We start from the raw sequence: 17,242 nt of genomic DNA on the forward strand, positions 1-17,242 counted from the left end.
GCCTGCTTTGTATTTTAACTCATCAGTATTTACCAAGCCTACACTATAATATTCTAGAGGTTAGAAATAAAGTGAGGAACACACTGGATAAGATCACTACCCTCCTAGAGTCCTTCTTTAAAAGCACGGTGGTTGGCTGGGTGCAGTGGCTCATGTCTCTAATCCCAGCACCTTAGGAGGCTGAGGCAGGAGGATCACTTGAGCCCAGGAGTTTGAGACCAGCCTGGGCAACCTAGTGAGACCCTGTCTCTGTTTTTTAAAGTTAAATACATTCTTATTTATTTATTTATTTTGAAACTGAGTCTCGCTCTGTCGCCCAGGCTGGAGTGCAGTGGCGCTGTCCCAGCTCACTGCAAGCTCTGCTTCCTGGGTTCATGTCATTCTCCTGTCTCAGCCCCCCAAGTAGCTGGGGCTACAGGCACCCGCCACCATGCCTGGCTAATTTTTTGCCTTTTTTTTTTTTTTTTTTAGTAGAGATGGGGTTTCACCATGTTAGCCAGGATGGTCTCGATCTCCTGACCTCGTGATCCGCCCACCTCAGCCTCCCAAAGTGCTGGGATTACAGGCGTGAGCCACCGCACCCCGTCTTTTCTTTTCTTTTTTTTTTTTTTTTTAAGCATGGTGGCTCATGCCTGTAATCCCAACACTTTGGGAGGCTGAGGTGGGTGGATCACTTGAGCTCAGGAGTTCAAGACCAGCCTGGGCAACACGGCCAAACCCTGTGTATAAAATACAAAAATTAGCTGGGTCTGGTGGCACACGCTTGTAGCCCCAGCTACTTGGGAGGATGAGTGGGAGGATGGCTTGAGCCTGGGAGGCGAGGTAGCAGTGAGTTGTGATCACACCACTGCAAACCAGCCTGGGTGACAGAGACAGACCCTATCTCAAAAAAATATATAAATAATGAAAAAGCAGATCTAACCCATCTGACAAGAGATTAATAACCAGAATAGAAAAGAAGCTCAAACAACACTAAAGGAAAAAATCTAATAATCCGATTAAAAAATTGGCAAAAGATTTGAATAGACATTTCCCAAAAGGCATACAAATGGCAAACAAGCATATGAAAAGGTACGCATCATTATCATCAGAGAAATGCAAATCAAAACTACAATGGGATATCATCTCACCCCAGTTAAAATGGCTTATATACAAAAGACAGTCAATAACAAATGCTGGCAAGGATGTGGAGAAAAGGAAACCCTCATATATTGTCGCGACATGTATTGTCGCGATCTCAGCTCACTGCAAGCTCCACCTCCTGGGTTCACGTCATTCTCCTGTCTCAGCCTCCCAAGTAGCTGGGGCTACAGGTGCCCGCCACCACTCCCGGCTAATTTTTTGTATTTTTTTTTTTAGATATTGTTGGTAGGAATGTAAATTACTACAACCATTAATGAGAACAGTTTGGCAGTTCCTCAAAAAATACAAAAATAGAGCTACCATATGATCCAGCAATCCCACTGCTGGGTATATACCCAAAAGAAAGGATATCACTATATTGAAGAGATATTTGCACTCCCATGTTCATTGCAGCACTATTTACAATATCTCAGATATGGAAGCAACCTAAGTGTCCATCAACAGATGAATGGATAAAGAAAATGTGGTACACATACACAATGGAGTACTATTTGGCCACAAAAATGAATGACATCCTGTCATTTGCAATAACATGGATGGGACTGTAGACCATTATGTTAAGTGAAAGAAGTCAGGCACAGAAAAACATTGAACGTTCTCACTTTTTTGTGGGATCTGAAAACCAAAACAACTGAACTCACGGACGTAGAGAGTAGGAGGATGGTTACCAGAGGCTGAAAATGGTAGTGGGAGGCAGGGAAGATGGCTAATGGGTACCAAAAAAAAAAAAAAAAGTTATAAGTAATGAATAAGACCTACTATTTGATAGCACAACAGGGTGACTATAGTCAATAACTAATTGTACATTTTAAAGTAAATGAGTATAATTGGTTTGTTTGTAACACAGAGGATAAATGCTTGAGGGGATGGATACCCCATTCTCTATGATATTCTTATTACACATTGCATGTCTATATCAAAACATCTCATGTACCCATCAATATATATGCCTTCTATGTACCCACAAAAATTAGAATTTTTTTAAAAAAAATCTGATCTAGGAAGAAGACAAAATGACACCTATAATACCTCATCTTGACCCCAGTCTTGTAAGATAATAAAAATAGAGTATACGATACAGTAGTCTCCCCACTTATCTGCAGGGGGTACATTCCAGGACCCCCAGTGGATGCCTGAAACCATGAATAGTACCAAACACTATATATAAATACTATACATGCATATCTGTGACAAAGTTTAATTTATGAGATTAACAATAACTACAACAATTATAATATACTGTAATAAATAGTATGTGAATGGTCTCTCACAAAGCAGTAAATAGTAAATCTTTTTATTTTTATTTTTTTTCTTTAATTCAGTCTTATAGGTGAAGATAATAGTAAATCTTGGTCAATTTTGATAGTGTCACCTGGCAAGAAAATTAAATTGTAGTCAGTTTTTTGTTGTTGTTGTTGTTGAGATGGGGTCTCACTGTTTCCCAGGCTGGAGTGCAGTGGTACGATCTTGGCTCACTGCAGCCTCCACCTCCTGGGTTCAAGCAATCCCCCCATCTCAGTCTCCCGAGTAGCTGGGATTACAGGGGCGCACCATCACGCCCAGCTAATTTTTGCATTTTTAGTGGAGACAGGGTTTCACCATGTTGGCCAGGCTGGTCTCGAACTCCTGACCTTAGGTGATCCACCCGCCTCGGCCTCCCAAAGTGCTGGGATTATAGGCATGAACCACTGTGCCCAGCCTGTAGTCAGTTTTGAACATTGTCTTATCAATATCTAAACCTTTGCATTTAGCTGACCACATATTGCAAAGGTGATTCTCAAACTATTAAGACTAAGCCTCACATGTTTAAATCTATCCCATTAGCTATTCAGAAGCATGCTAAAAATAAAACGCTAAGGCATGCAATGCCTGAAAAATACTTTGTTTATACTTCCCTTTTCCTTCTGCCTCACTGATGTGGTGCTGATCCTCATCTCCTTGGCAGGCCTCTTCTCTCTACCTGTTTCTTAAATTCTTCAAGATGGGATCTTGGGCCTCTTCTCTTCTGCCCCTTTTATGTGAACTCAGGTAAATTCTTGTTTTTTTTTTTCACTCCTCAATGCTTCAATTACCCAATCTTTAGGTAATTAAAGTCTCACAGATATGTGTCTCAGAGATCTACATCTTAATTCCTCTATCTCTACTGAGCTCAAAACCTTATTTTCCAATTGACTGCTGTACTTAAACTCAAAATTTCTAAAAGTCAACTCACTTGTTCCTTCAGAAAACTTTTCCCTCTACTTAGGTTGCCTTTTTCTGTTTGATATCATATGTTATCCTTTTAGAGGCTAGAAACCCAGTCATTTTTGATGCCTCTCCCTCTCAATCAAGCAATCCCCTGTATTCTACCCTAAAACCATACGCCATACAGCACTAACCAGAGGTAGAGCAGAGTGGTTAGGAGCTCCAAAACCATGCTACACAGGTCTGAATCTTGGATGTTACATAAAAGCTGACTTACTTTTGGGCAAGTCATTTAACTTTTCAGTTACAAAATGAACACCTACCTTCTGAGATTTTGGAGAGACTAATTAAGTTAATAAATGTAAAGGACTAAAGACAGCATCTGGTACATGTAAACATGCAATAAATATTAGTTGTTATTAATTTTTTTATTATTAGCTGAAAGCTAAGTACTTTAGAAGGTTATCCTGAGAACGCAATTAGAAAAAAATCAAGAAGAGTTTAAAAAACATAAGATTTATTATATTGGAGGTTACAAAGTTATCATAAACATGTATCAAAAACTAAATAAAATGTCCTATTTTAATAAAAAATAAGAAGGGTATAAGCCATTTGAACTACTGACTAAGAGATGTTATAATAATATATGATTAAAAAGTTTTAGGAATCCCCCAAATCCAATCAAGATGCCCTGGAGAGAAACACAGATCAACATGATTACACTGTGATATCAAGAAAGAAAACTTCTAATAAATAAGTAGCACTGCAAATGAAGAAAGAGTGTGTACCTAGAAGGAAGATGGTCTTTGTATTAGTCTGTTCTCATGCTGCTATGAAAAAATACCCAAGCCTGGGTAATTTAGAAAGAAAAGAGGTTTAATTGACATGCAGTTCCACATGGCTAGGGAGGCCTCAGGAAACTTAACAATCATGGCGGAAGGCACCTCTTCACAGGGCAGCAGGAGAGGGACTGAGTGCCAACAGGGGAAATGCCAGATGGTTATAAAACCATCAGACCTGGTGAGAACTCACTCCCTATCATGAGAAGCATGGGGAAACCACCCCCATGATTCAATCACCTCCACCTGGTCCCATCCTTGACACACAGGGATTATTACAATTCAAGGTGAGATCTGGGTGGGGACACAGAGCCAAACCATAGCCGTCTTCCTTATAAGGAGTATCCAAAGACACAAAATTTGGCAGGATGTTGCCAACACAGTGTCCCAGGAAAAAGTTATTCCTGATCCACAAATAAGATCCTTTTCCATTGTGGAGGATGATTTCTCAAACCATTGTAACTGGATGATACTGGCTAGTATAATGACATATCGTTTTCCTCCTGTTCTGATTCTATGCACATAAAATACTGTTTTAATTAAAATTTGGTTTTCCATACACATTTGGCTGGAGGAGAATGGGCTGATCACCCAAAATGAATATTTAGCCTGCTTGATATGTATATTTCTCATTGTAAATTAATGACTCAAACACCATTTTTGGACTCCCTAAACCAGAAGTAATTCTGTTTCTTCTAAAAACTCTTTACTTCAACTATAGCAATTATTTATTTTGCCTCATTATTGTTAGTTGTTTACATGTTTATGTTTGACCAGATGGTAAAAACCTTCAAGTATATGACTGTTTCTTTTCTTTTTTTTTTTTTTTTTTCTGAGACAGGGTCTTACTCTGTTGCCCAGGCTGGTCTCAAACTCCTGGGCTCAAGTGATCTGCCTGCCTTGGCCTCCCATAACGCTGTGATTACGAACGTGAGCCACTGCGCCTGGCCTAAATATTTCTAATTCTTTTTTTGTTTTCAGTTCCCTACTGTGAAAATTTAAGTAGATTCTTAAATGTTTGATGGATAAATGACTGGATGAATAGCATCATGTGATTATTCTCTTCCCAAGACTGAAAAGTAAACACCAAGATTGTACGCACCTTATTCTTTTCATTTTGAATAATTTCTAATAGCTGGTCTGTGTGCCCTTCTTCTATGCATCTTTGCCCAGCTAACTGAAATAGGCCAAAATCCTCTTCTTTAAAGTCTTGCTCTTCTAGGATTTGCTGGCAAAAAAAAAAAAAACCCAAAAAACAAACAAAAAAAAGTATATGCAAATAAAAATTAAATACAATAACTTCTTGATTTATCTATGAAAAAAGGAAATCTGTTTAAATTCTAGATAAATGTAACGTAAATAACACACGTATCAAAATTAGGATTACCCTAATAAATACTTTAATAAGTGACCTTGAAATCTACTGTACCAGTGAAATCTATGAAAAGGATCAGGATTAAAATGTAAAAGGTTATTTAGATAAGTATGTCACCTGGAGAAATAATCCAATCTGCCTCCCCCACTCATGCTCTTTACAGGTCAAAAAAAGCAAGGATTAAAGAAGATAAACAATTTGAGTGACCACAAATATAATTAAAAACAATCTGTGCCCTTCCCATATTTTGAAAGGTATTTAATTTTACAAAAATTAATACTTACACATCTCTTTATTATAGACTGAAGTTCCTCTACAGCCATTCTTATTTCTCCTAGTTTCGATGCTAAAATCTACAAATACAAAACACACTGTTAACTATCCGTGATATTACACTTAAGTATTCAAAAGTTATGTTTCAGTGTGATAAATTATTAGTAAATACAATAAAGAAAATGGAAAGTTTTTGTTGTTGTGTTTTTTGGTCCAATAGCATGCTAGGAGAAAATGTAAAGTTTTAAAGTTGAAATGTTATTACTGAATCTTAGTATGTTTGCCTAAGAAAATAAAGTGTTTTTTTAGAAGCCCTTATTGCATGTTTTAAGTTTTCTAGGAGCATAGTTTTGAAAGCTACTTTGAAGGAAAAAAAAACAAAAAAAACCTCTCGAGCACTCCCAAGAGGCGAGGCATATACGAACTAAAGGGCTTTTAAAAAGCAAAGCACTTCTTTTCTGAAAAAAAATTTCCAAAAGGTGGACCTGAAATCAAAATTCTAATCATCAGGGGATTTTTCATTTTTAATGTCTCACCTCACAAAAATTGGGGTGCAACACAAGCTTATCTATAGGGGGTGAAGATTCAGATGCCCTCCATTCCATTTCTCTCTAGGAGTTGCAGTCCCCAAAGTGATCAATCCAGCTAGTGAAATCACTGTATCACACGGAGACAAGACAACGGCGGCCTTCAGGAGGAGACCATCGCTTCTCCTGGCGGCAAGGCTCGGCCCCAAGCCCTCAGTAGGGGCGCGAGTCAGCCCGGTCCTCAGGGCAGCGCGCTGGAAGGCGAGTGAACACCCCAGCGCGCGTGCGGGCTGCATCAGAGGAAGCCATGTCTTCCGATTCCTGCTCGCCTAGGTGGGCAGGCTCCACCACCTCGCGTGGCCTAGTCGGCCCGCAGCACCAAGTCCGCCGCGGCTCACGGCCAACCGCGAGCCCTGGCCACCCTGAACCTCTCCACAACTCCACTTACCGGCCAGAACCCTCGCCTCTCCCAGCCGCCGCCACCTCCTCCGGCGTCTTAGCCCGCTCTTCTGGCCCCGCCCCGCGCTACGCGTAGGGAGGCGGGGCCTCGGGGCGAGACGCCGGAGCGTGTCCCCGTCCGGCAGACTACTCTCCCCCATGGCGGACTTCGCTGGGCCGTCTTCTGCCGGCCGCAAGGCCGGGGCTCCCCGCTGCTCTCGAAAAGCCGCAGGTAGGAGCAAGGATCTCTTCCCACTTTTGGACCCTGAAAGCTGGGCCCCGATCTCGAGTTATAGACCGCAGCGCGCGGGCGCTCCTGAAAGGCTGCTTCAGGGGAGGGGTTCTCCCAGGTAGAGTAGGCCGAAAGCTTCCCACCGCCGTCCGCACCTCCTGGGAAAGATTTCCTGGCCGCCCCTCACCCCTTTACGCCAGTGTTCCAAGATTTCCCTCACGCGGACTGTGGCCCCAGCCTCTGAGACAAAGGACAGTGGAGGCCCCGGGAACCCAGGCCTGGGGTCCCCGGGTTTCGGGGCAAGTGACTAGGGCAGCGTTGGCAGCTGGCCTTGAACCTAGGACCGGTCCTCCTTTCCAGATTGCTTGGGTGCCCAGTTCTTTAAGGTGCCGGACTCCCCTCTTCCCCCAGAGAGGACGTTTGGCAGACGGAGAGAGGTTTCCCCTAAAAGTACCCAGATCTCAGATTTTCAGGAGTGGTTAATTAAGCAACTATGATACAGAAGAAAATTCAATCCCCAAAGAGATACATTTTAACCAAGAAAAATTAGACAGTAATCAATTTGCAAAAACAAATTGCTCTCCCTTCCTATTTCATTTTGATTTACACACGATTGGACATAAAATATGTGGAAAAGAAGAAAAGGTGGTCTACAGTTTGTTATTTGTGTAGGAATCTATCTTGTACCTAATGTGTTTGTGTAGACCTGACCTACTGCCACCATGTGTAGCTTAACTGCGGGGATGCATTTTGAGAAATAAGTTGTTAGTCGATTTCATCCTTGTGTGACCATCATCGAGTGCACTTACACAAACCTAGATGGTACAGCCTACTTACACACTAGGCTATATGGTACAGCCTATTGCTCCCAGGCTACAAACCTGCACAGCATGTTACTGTACTAAGTACTGTAGGCAACTGTATATCTAAACATAGAAAAGGTACAGTAAAAATACAGTATTTTAATCTTATGAGACCGCTGTCTGTATGCTGTCCGTCGTTTACGGAAATGTCATTATGTAGCACATGACTGTATTTTTATTGTAGGTACTAAACAGACAAGTACTTTGAAACAAGAAGATGCTTCTAAAAGGTATGACAGCTACATGGACAACTACATTGGCATATCTACTTATCTTGTATTACTTGTACCAATTTTAAAACAATAATGGTTACCTTTTTTTTTTTAGAGAAAATTATCATGAGAGGGAAGGGAAAGATCTGGGAAGGCCTATAAATTCTCACATAGACTGTTACATTCCTCTACTCCAGGCTTTAAGAAAACCAAACTAAGCACTCAGACTGCTAGTGAAGGAATGAGTGTCTGTAGAAGGTGTTTGTTTTTCACCGCTTCAGGTACACTCTCCTTTTATTGCTTTATATGCCAGAGACTCACTCTCCAAGTTTCGCTGTCACTCCAAGAAACCTTTTCTGTTCTTTGTTACATCAAGTCCAGATTTTCATTAAAAAGCTGTCTTGTACTAGTTCTGGTTCTAAAAAGGCAAGATATTACCACATATCACACAGAGTTTCTAGAAGAGGAGTAGAATGTGAAGGGGATTAAAAGCATATGTAGCTATGATTTTTATTTTGTGAAGACTCACTAATCTTATATTGGCTTTGGTCTTAATTTACTCATTCTTTCAAAAATTATTTATTGAGTATAAGATATGTCGGACCTGTGTTAGGCTCTGAAGATATGGTGAACAGAATAGACACAGTTCTTGCCTAGTGGAACAGAGGAATAAATAATAATAAATTAATTAGTTAATTAACATAAACAAATACATAATTACAAATTGTGATAAGCACTATGAAGGAAAAGACTGTGATGTTACGAGAAGGAATAACGAAGTCTAATTTAGTTGGAGGTGGGTGGCAGGGAGGTTGGCTGTGAGTTTTCAGCGAAAGCCTTATGCTGAGACCTGCGTGCTAAGTAGACATTAACCATACAAAGAGTATATAAAGACTTATGTATGTGCAGTGCAAAAAGTAGCTTGTTTCCTTTTTGAAAAGTATTGGATCAAAAGTAACAGCATTAGAAAACAGAAATTTGGCCGGATGTGGTGGCTTATGCCGGTGATCCCAGCACTTTGGGAGGCTGAGGTGGGAGTGTTGCTTGAGGCCAGGAGCTCGAGACCAGTTTGAGCAACATAGTGAGACCTTGTCTCTACAATTAAAAAGAAATAAATATTTTTATTCAAAAAATTTTTTAAATATATTTAAATTTAAGTGGCAAAATAGTGAGTTAGGTTAGTATTGTATTTTAAAACATGGAATGTTGGACATGAAGCTTTTAAGTAGATTAAGTTTCTCTTTCAAATTTTAGGAAAGCTGAACTAGAAGCAGCTGTGAGAAAGAAGATTGAATTTGAGAGAAAAGCTCTACATATTGTTGAACAGCTTTTAGAGGAGAATATTACAGAAGAGTTCCTAATGGAGTGTGTATGTGTTAAGTTGACAAATTATTAGTTTTGTAGTATAACATCTTTAAATCTGTGCAGCATGAAACTTCTTTGCATTATTAGAATCTTTGAATTTGTTCTGAGTCATTAGATGCAGATAACAATCCATATAATTCATGCATTTAAAAATAAACAACTATCATGCATTCCTTGTATAATGACTTTAAAATGCACTAATGAAAAATAAGTACGTAACAAGGTGATGACACGTAATGTATATTTCAAAATTAATAAGAGTGGATTTCAAATGTTCTCACCACAAAGAAATGATAAATATGTGAGGTGATAGATATGTTAATTAGCCTGATTTGCTCAATGTATACATGTGTTAAAACATCACATACTACCCCACAAATATATACAATTATTATTGTCAATTAAAAAGCAAAAGAGGCCAGGCACAATGGCTCATGTAATCCCAGCACTTTGGGAGGCTAAGGCAGGCGGATCACTTGAGGTCAGGAGTTCGAGACCAGCCTGGCCAACATGGTGAAACCTCGTTTCTACTAAAAATACAAAATTAGCCAGGTGTGGCTCATGCCTGTAATCCCAGCTGCTCAGGAGGCTGAGGCATGAGAATCACTTGAACTCAGGAGGCAGACGTTGCAGTGAGCTGAGATCACACCACTGCACTCCAGTCTGGGCAACAAGAGTGAGACTCTGTCTCAAAATAAGTATATAAATAATAAATGGGAAAAAAGAAAAATGAGGATGGGGGAGAAAAAAAAAAAAAGAAAAAGCAAATATATTTTACCCTTAGTCATAGTTCTTTTAACCAGTCTGCTAATATCACTTGATTTTCTTCAATTTGTTCTAATGATTGCAATTCCAGTTTTCTATATTCTGTGTTGTGTTATTTTAAGTAACAGAAGAATATTATTTTTGTCAATGTAATTTCATCAATTTTCTTATTTCAAAAACCTGAAATACAGCTCATTTATGACTCAACATAAAACGGGAGAATTAAATTCCGCATTAAATTTTTTTTTTTTTTTTTTTTTTTTTTTTTGAGACGGAGCCTCACTCTGTCGCCCAGGCTGGAGTGCAGTGGCGGGATCTCTGCTCACTGCAAGCTCCGCCTCCCGTGTTCACGCCATTCTCCTGCCTCAGCCTCCCGAGTAGCTGGGACTGGGCGCCCACCATTACGCCCGGCTAATTTTTTTGTATTTTTAGTAGAGATGGGATTTCACTGTGTTAGCCAGGATGGTCTCGATTTCCTAACCTCGTGATCCGCCCGCGTCGGCCTCCCAAAGTGCTGGGATTACAGGCATGAGCCACTGCTCTCGGCCCGCATTAATTTTTTTTTGGCCAGGCACGATGGCTCATACCTGTAATCCCAGCACTTTGGGAAGCCAAGGCGGTAGGATCGCTTGAGCCCAGGAGTTTGAGACCAGTCTGGACAACACAGCGAGACCCTGTCTAAATAAAAATTTGAGAATAAAAAAATTTTGAAACAGCTTTACTACATTAAAATTTTGAATGGAAATTTCTCTTTATATTTTTGTAATCCTTAAGAGGGCAAATTAAAACTCAAAGCTTCTATTACAAAAACACTTCTTAGTGTAGTTGATAGATCTTTTTCTAAACAGGAATATGAACATGACAATTCATATTTTTATTGACACAGGTAACTGCATCAGAATCTGCATATTTGATGACACCAGAAAAGACAAAGGCAAATATGCTTCATTTGAAACATAAAACTTACATCACTCTCAATAAAAAGTATTTCTGTCTCTGTGAAAACAGAAAAACTTGTTAAAAGATCTCAAAGTTATGAACAAGAATCAAAATTATTTGATCATGAAGATGTCAAAGGAAAATATTTGATGTTAGCTTATAACCATCACCTCACCACTCTGTACAGATTTTTCAGAAGTAGGAAAATTTTGCACAAACTGTGTTCTGCAGTAACAATGACACTTTTGAAATACTTTGTTTTTAAAGATTATGCTTTAAAAAATAGGTAAAATTATATTTTATTATTTTGTGATTTAGTTAATTTTTTAAATAATACTTTTTCAAAAATAAAAGATACTGTTGTCATTTAGCTTGTGTATAGCTATAGCATCACTTCTTCCTCATGCCTCAGAATTATTTCATTTAACTATATAATCTACAAAGATGCAGAGACTACTGTGGCAGAAATTTTTTTAATAATAACTTTTTTTTTGAATGCTCACTATATGTTGAGCACTTCTCTAAGTGATTTTGCTTTATTTTCTCCTCTAATTCTAACCTCTAACTTATGAGGAAGGTACTATTGCTATCCCTGTGTTTTCAGATAAGATTGATGAGGCTTAGAGAGCTGATAAATGAACTTTTCTATTAAACTAGGAGGAAATAACCCTCTCATTTCATTTTAGGGGAGGTTCATTACACCTGCTCACTACAGTGATGTCGTGGATGAACGTTCTATTGTCAAACTCTGTGGTTATCCTTTATGTCAGAAGAAGCTGGGAATTGTAAGTAACTCATTTTTTTTAAAATATAGGCTTTTATTATTTTCATTTAGCAAAATACTTTGTTGTAAGAATAAGAAATAAAACCTAAGGTCATGAACTAAAGGCATGGATTGGCCAATGATATGATATGTAGATGACTTAATCTTGTAACATAACGTTCATGTTTATTATTTGGATTCTTTTGTAAGCTGTACTTTCTTTTCTTTAGGTACCAAAACAGAAATATAAAATTTCTACCAAAACCAATAAAGTCTATGATATTACTGAAAGAAAGGTGAGTTTAAAGGCTTTCATTGTGGCAATTAATTTTTTTTCTTTACTAACCACTATCCTAACAAGGCATGGCAATTAATTTTTAATGATATTAAATAGGATTCTAAAAGAAACTTTAAAATCTTACTGGTTAGAAAATAGTGATGTTAAAAGTTTGATTTTATTTGTAAATATTTCAATCAAGGTATTAAAAATTTTTTTGCTTAAGCTTCAATTAAGACTTGAACATTTAAAAGTGCATATTGGCACAAATCTGGGCAAATAAATCATGGAACAGAATAGAGAGTCAGCAGCAGACTAACCACATATGTAGACACTTGATATATGACAGCGGGAGTATTGTAGATCAGTAGAGAAAGGATGGATTTTTCAATAAATTATACTGGCACAATTAGTTATGCAAATGGAAAAAATTAAAATTGATGCCTATCTCAGTCTCTATACATAGATCAATTTTAGGTAGATTAAAGACATAAATGTAAAAGGTAGAAGACACTATGGGAGATGCTGGTCGTGGTGGCTCACACCTGTAATCCTAGCACTTTGGGAGGCCAAGGGGGGCGGATTACCTGAGCTCAAGGAGTTGGAGGCCAGCCTGGGCAACGGCAAAACCCTGTCTCTACAAAAAGTACAAAAATCAGCCAAAGGTGGTGGTACGCACCTGTAGTCCCAGCTACTCAGAAAGCTGAGGCACATGCATCGCATGAACCTGGGAGGCAGAGGTTACAGTGAGCCGAGATCATGCCACTGCACTCCAGCCTGGGCAACAGAGCAAGACACTGTCTTCAAAAAAAAGACAATAGACCGGGCGCCCTGGCTCAAGCCTGTAATCCCAGCACTTTGGGAGGCCGAGGCGGGCAGATCACGAGGTCAGGAAATCGAGACCATCCTGGCTAACACAGTGAAATCCCATCTCTACTAAAAATACAAAAAAATTAGCCAAACGTGATGGCGGGCGCCTGTAGTCCCAGCTACTCGGGAGGCTGAGGCAGGAGAATGGCGTGAACCCGGGAGGCGGAGCTTGCAGTGAGCCGAGATCGCACCACTGCATTCCAGCCGGGGCAACAGAGTGAGGCTCCGTCTCAAAAAAAAAAAAAAAAAAAGACAATATGGGAAGATATAAACTTGGGGTAGAGAGACTTCATAAAATAAGATGGAAAATTATAGGCCAAAGAGGAGAAACTGATAAACATTTCTATATTAAAATGTAAAACTTTTGTTCATCAGAAGTTTCAAAAAAAAAATGAAAAGAGAAGCCACAAAGCAGAATGTTAACTGACCATAGAATCATATCTAGAATATATGATCTATAAGAAAAAGACAGACAAACTAATAGAAAAATTTACACAAGGAACTTGAATGGCTAATAAACATATGAAAAGATGCTAAATATTATCAGTAATCAGAGAAATAGCAAATAAAAACACACTGAGTTTTGTTTTCACAGCCCACAAAATTGCGAATGTTAGGAAATCTTTTTGCAACTAGTGGGAATGAAAATTGGTACAGCCTTTTTGAGAAATGGCTTGGCATTTGTCTGGTGAAGTCTTTGCACATTCTCTATAATTAAGCCTTTCTATTCCTTGGTATAAACCCTAAAAAAATTCTTACACATGTACACCAGCATGTATGTATAAAAATGTTTATAGCTGGATAAACAATGTCGTATATACACACAATGGAATATTAGCCTTTAAAAAAAGGAAGGAAATTCTGACACATGCTACAAGGTGGATGAACCTTGAAGATAATATGCTAAGTGAAATAAGCCAGCACAAAAGGACAAATACTGTATGCTTTCACTTATATGAGGTACCTAGAGAAGTCAGATTAACAGAGACAGAAAGTAGAATGATCATCAAGAGAGGTGGGAATGGGAAGTTAGTGTATAGGGTTTCAGTTCTGTAAGATAAAAAGAGTTCTAAAGATGAATGGTGGTAATAGTTGCACAACAGTGTGAAGGTACTTAATACCACTGTGCTATATACTTAAAAATGCTTATGATGATAAATTTTAGATTATGTATATTTTACCACAATTGTGAACATTTTTTAATTGTAAAAAAAAGTTTATAGTAACATTGTAGTGATAGCAAAAAAATTAGAAACAACTCAATTGTCTATAAATGGTAAAGTGTAATACTCTAACAATGGAATGTAGTACACAGTGAAAATTAATAAGCTACAACTACTTGAATGAATCTTAAAAACATAATTTTAAACAAAAGAAGTGGCTAGGTACGGTGGCTCACACCTATAATTCCAGCACTTTGGGAGGCCAGGGAGAGAAGATAGAGACCAGCCTGGGCAACAAATAGAGACCCCATCTCTACAAAAAAATAAAATAGCCAGGTGTGGTGGCACGCCTGTAGTCCAAGCTACTCAGGAGGCTGAAACCAGAGGATTACTTGAGCCCAGGAGTTTGAGGCTACAGTGAGTGAGACCCTGTCCCTAAAAAAAATAAAATTTAATAAGTGAATGAAGTAAGATAAGAATGTATAACAATATTATTCCATTCAAAAAAATGTTTAAAAATAGGCAAAACTGAATATTTTTTAATAGGGATATGTACACAGGTGCTAAAACTGAAAGGAAATGAGGGAATGATTAACACCAAATTTATGGTAGTGGTTACTTCTGGGGAATGCGGAGGGTGATGCAGTTGGGAAGGGGCACATAGAGGCCTTCAAAGGTTCAGTATCTTATTTCTTACCTTGGGTGGTAGATCTGTAGGTTTCCATTTTATTCTTTGAACGATACATTTATGTTTTATACTCTCAACTGTATGTAGGTAATGTTTCATGATAAGAAAAAAACTAGATTTATAATGTTCTTTTCAGTCTTTTTGCAGCAATTTTTGTTATCAAGCATCTAAGTTTTTTGAAGCACAAATTCCCAAAACTCCAGTATGGGTTCGAGAAGAAGAGAGGTAATTTAAGTCATTGTGTATATACATTTGTTCATATATTCTAATAATTTGTTTCTGCTTTTTGAGATTAGCTGAGAGTAAGTCTAGTTTTCTGTAAAAAGTTACCATTTTATATACTTTATGGGGAAATGGTTATATTTTAAGCATAGCTATTAAGGATTTTACACTTAAAATCAGAAAATGCATACATACAAATGTTATTTGTTTGTTGTTTTAGCTTTAATTGCAAAATCAGAACTTTAACTCCAGTGTCCTGTGATGCTAGTTATGTCTGTGAATCCTGTTAATATAATAATCCTGGAGGAAGAATGTTAAATTTTTTCAGAAGTTACTGGGTCTTAGGATCCAGGTGAACTCTGCTATGAGAAAGGTTAGAAAGTTCAGGTTCATTTAATCTTTATAAAAATCAGTACACTATTTTATCAATTTAAAGACACAATTAAAAAGTAATTTTTTTTTTTGTAAAAAGAGTTTATGGGCAATGCTGGAGTTTAGCCTCTTGGGAAATGATTTAAATACTGGCAATGTTTTACTAGATGCTAAAGTCAAGAAAATTTTATTATTGAGGGTGAAATGGCATGATAATATAAAGGTAACAAGTTATCCTTATGGTAATTAAACTGTATTGCCTAGAAATTCCAATGAAATGCTTAATGAGATAATGCCCAAAATAAATTCATGTTTGAAAGAGTGTATTATAGCAACACAAGGCAGTGTTACTTGTGGTAAGGTAGGACCTATGCTAAATAAACTAATGACCTAAACATAATGAGATGCAGGTTAGCTAAAAAGCTCTGGCTCAAAAAAAAAAAAGCAAACCTTGAAGTCTTTTCTGATGCGTAAGGCGATGTAACACCACTCTCAATTCAAATAACATCAATTATGCTGACAACAGCACCTGTGATGGCAGACACCTCTGCCTGCCGATCCAATCCTGTGTGGTTTAGGATATGGAAAACTTAACACTGTGTGGCCCTTGATAATTGAGTTAAACATAATTAAGACTAAATTGTTCATCATTTCACCACCAGTCTGCCAGCTTCCTTGTTGGGAAAATAAAAGACTCTGGCATTGTTCGACATGACTGGGAAGCTAAGAGTACTTTTTTACTTATCCTTTTTCTCCTTTCTTAATATTTCTGTCACTAGAGCTGCCCAGTACTTCCCCAGTCCTCTGAGAGCAACATGTTTTATTCCCCACTGAAACCAGTGTTTCCTCAAGTTATCCTTAACTTTGCTTCCAAAGATATTTTCTCTACATCTTAAATTTAACCCTTTGTGCCACCCTCATATCTACCTCAACTGCTTCAAAACCATTTACCAAATTACCTTTCCTGCCATCTCTGTTTTCTTCAAGCATAGGTATTGGTCCTTCCTTTAGCTAATTTAAAACAAATCTTCCAGCCTGGTGTAGTGGCTCATGCCTATAATCCCAACACTTTGAGAAGCCAAGGTGGGTGGATCACTTGAGTTTAGGAATTTGAGACCAGCTTAGCCAATATGGTGATACCCTGTCTCTACTAAAAATACAAAAATTAATTGGGTATGGTGGCGGGCACCTGTAATCCCAGCTACTCAGGAGGCTGAGGCAGGAGAATCACTTGAACCTGGGAGGCGGAGGTTGCAGTGAGCCAAGATCGTGCTGCTGAACTCTAGCCTGGGCCACAGAGTGAGATTCTGTCTCAAAAATTAAATAAATAAATAAAATGAAGTAAAACAGGTCTTCCTGTAACCTTTTCCTAAAATCTCACCATCCTCTATTCAGAATGCTCACTGTTTCCCAAAACTTGAAGCCCTTTTACTTTATATTTGCAGTTCTTGAAATTCTACCTTAGCTATATACCCTTCACTACCTCACTAAAAAAGAAAGATGAAAATGTCCTTTGTGCCGGGCGTGGTGGCTTACACCTGTAATCCCAGCACTTTGGGAGGCCGAGGGGGGCAGATCACAAGGTCAAGAGATCGAGACCATCCTGGCCAACATGGTGAAACCCTGTCTCTACTAAAAATACAAAAATTAGCTGGACGTGGTGACACATGCCTGTAGTCTCAGCTACTCAGGAGGCTGAGGTAGGAGAATTGCTTGAACCTGGGAGGCGGAG

General features: G+C 38.5%; 2 protein-coding genes across 17 annotated transcripts in view, besides 5 other annotated features; one reads left to right on the top strand and one right to left on the bottom strand.

The window, feature by feature from the left end:
- GLMN (glomulin, FKBP associated protein) overlaps positions 1-17,242 on the bottom strand; it is a 124,443-nt gene that overhangs the window by 45,734 nt on the left and 61,467 nt on the right. For 4 of the 12 annotated variants that reach the window (NR_135089.2, NM_001319683.2, NM_053274.3 and 1 more), the window contains exons 1-3: positions 6,790-6,852; positions 5,826-5,894; positions 5,269-5,394 (exon numbers count right to left, since the gene is read on the bottom strand). Coding sequence is in view for 10 of the 12 variants with exons in the window: in NM_001319683.2 (NP_001306612.1) it covers positions 5,269-5,394; positions 5,826-5,864 (165 nt within the window). In the remaining 2 variants the exon portion in view is untranslated. Of the gene's footprint in view, positions 1-5,268; positions 5,395-5,825; positions 5,895-6,350; positions 6,853-17,242 lie in introns of those variants that run through there. The other 8 variants (XR_007068627.1, XM_017000138.2, XM_017000137.2 and 5 more) reach the window with 4 other exon arrangements.
- Positions 5,950-6,846: an enhancer, noted in NCBI's record as "NANOG-H3K27ac-H3K4me1 hESC enhancer chr1:92763642-92764538 (GRCh37/hg19 assembly coordinates)". NCBI's record gives its function as "activates a minimal SCP1, AML or CMV promoter by ChIP-STARR-seq in primed H9 embryonic stem cells {active_cell/tissue: H9 hESC(primed)}" and the evidence as "EXISTENCE:reporter gene assay evidence [ECO:0000049][PMID:30033119]".
- Positions 5,950-6,887: a biological region, named in NCBI's record as "NANOG-H3K27ac-H3K4me1 hESC enhancer GRCh37_chr1:92763642-92764538".
- Positions 6,349-6,686: a silencer, noted in NCBI's record as "fragment chr1:92764041-92764378 (GRCh37/hg19 assembly coordinates)". NCBI's record gives its function as "represses an EF-1alpha promoter that drives an FKBP-Casp9 reporter gene in an ReSE screen in phorbol 12-myristate 13-acetate-treated (for megakaryocytic differentiation) K562 erythroleukemia cells {active_cell/tissue: K562(+PMA)}" and the evidence as "EXISTENCE:reporter gene assay evidence [ECO:0000049][PMID:32094911]".
- Positions 6,418-6,887: an enhancer, noted in NCBI's record as "active region_1311". NCBI's record gives its function as "activates an Ori minimal core promoter by ATAC-STARR-seq in GM12878 lymphoblastoid cells {active_cell/tissue: GM12878}" and the evidence as "EXISTENCE:reporter gene assay evidence [ECO:0000049][PMID:35858748]".
- RPAP2 (RNA polymerase II associated protein 2) overlaps positions 6,924-17,242 on the top strand; it is a 102,998-nt gene continuing 92,679 nt past the window's right edge. For all 5 annotated transcript variants that reach the window (NM_024813.3, XM_047430820.1, XM_017002363.3 and 2 more), the window contains exons 1-6: positions 6,924-7,011; positions 8,059-8,104; positions 9,341-9,455; positions 11,842-11,940; positions 12,149-12,214; positions 15,053-15,141. In NM_024813.3, coding sequence (NP_079089.2) covers positions 6,939-7,011; positions 8,059-8,104; positions 9,341-9,455; positions 11,842-11,940; positions 12,149-12,214; positions 15,053-15,141 — 488 coding nt within the window. In that variant the 5' untranslated portion in view covers positions 6,924-6,938. The remainder of the gene's footprint in view (positions 7,012-8,058; positions 8,105-9,340; positions 9,456-11,841; positions 11,941-12,148; positions 12,215-15,052; positions 15,142-17,242) is intronic.
- Positions 7,108-7,337: an enhancer, noted in NCBI's record as "active region_1312". NCBI's record gives its function as "activates an Ori minimal core promoter by ATAC-STARR-seq in GM12878 lymphoblastoid cells {active_cell/tissue: GM12878}" and the evidence as "EXISTENCE:reporter gene assay evidence [ECO:0000049][PMID:35858748]".

Source organism: Homo sapiens, chromosome 1, assembly GCF_000001405.40.
Source record: "Homo sapiens chromosome 1, GRCh38.p14 Primary Assembly".
Taxonomy (NCBI): Eukaryota; Metazoa; Chordata; class Mammalia; order Primates; family Hominidae; genus Homo; species Homo sapiens.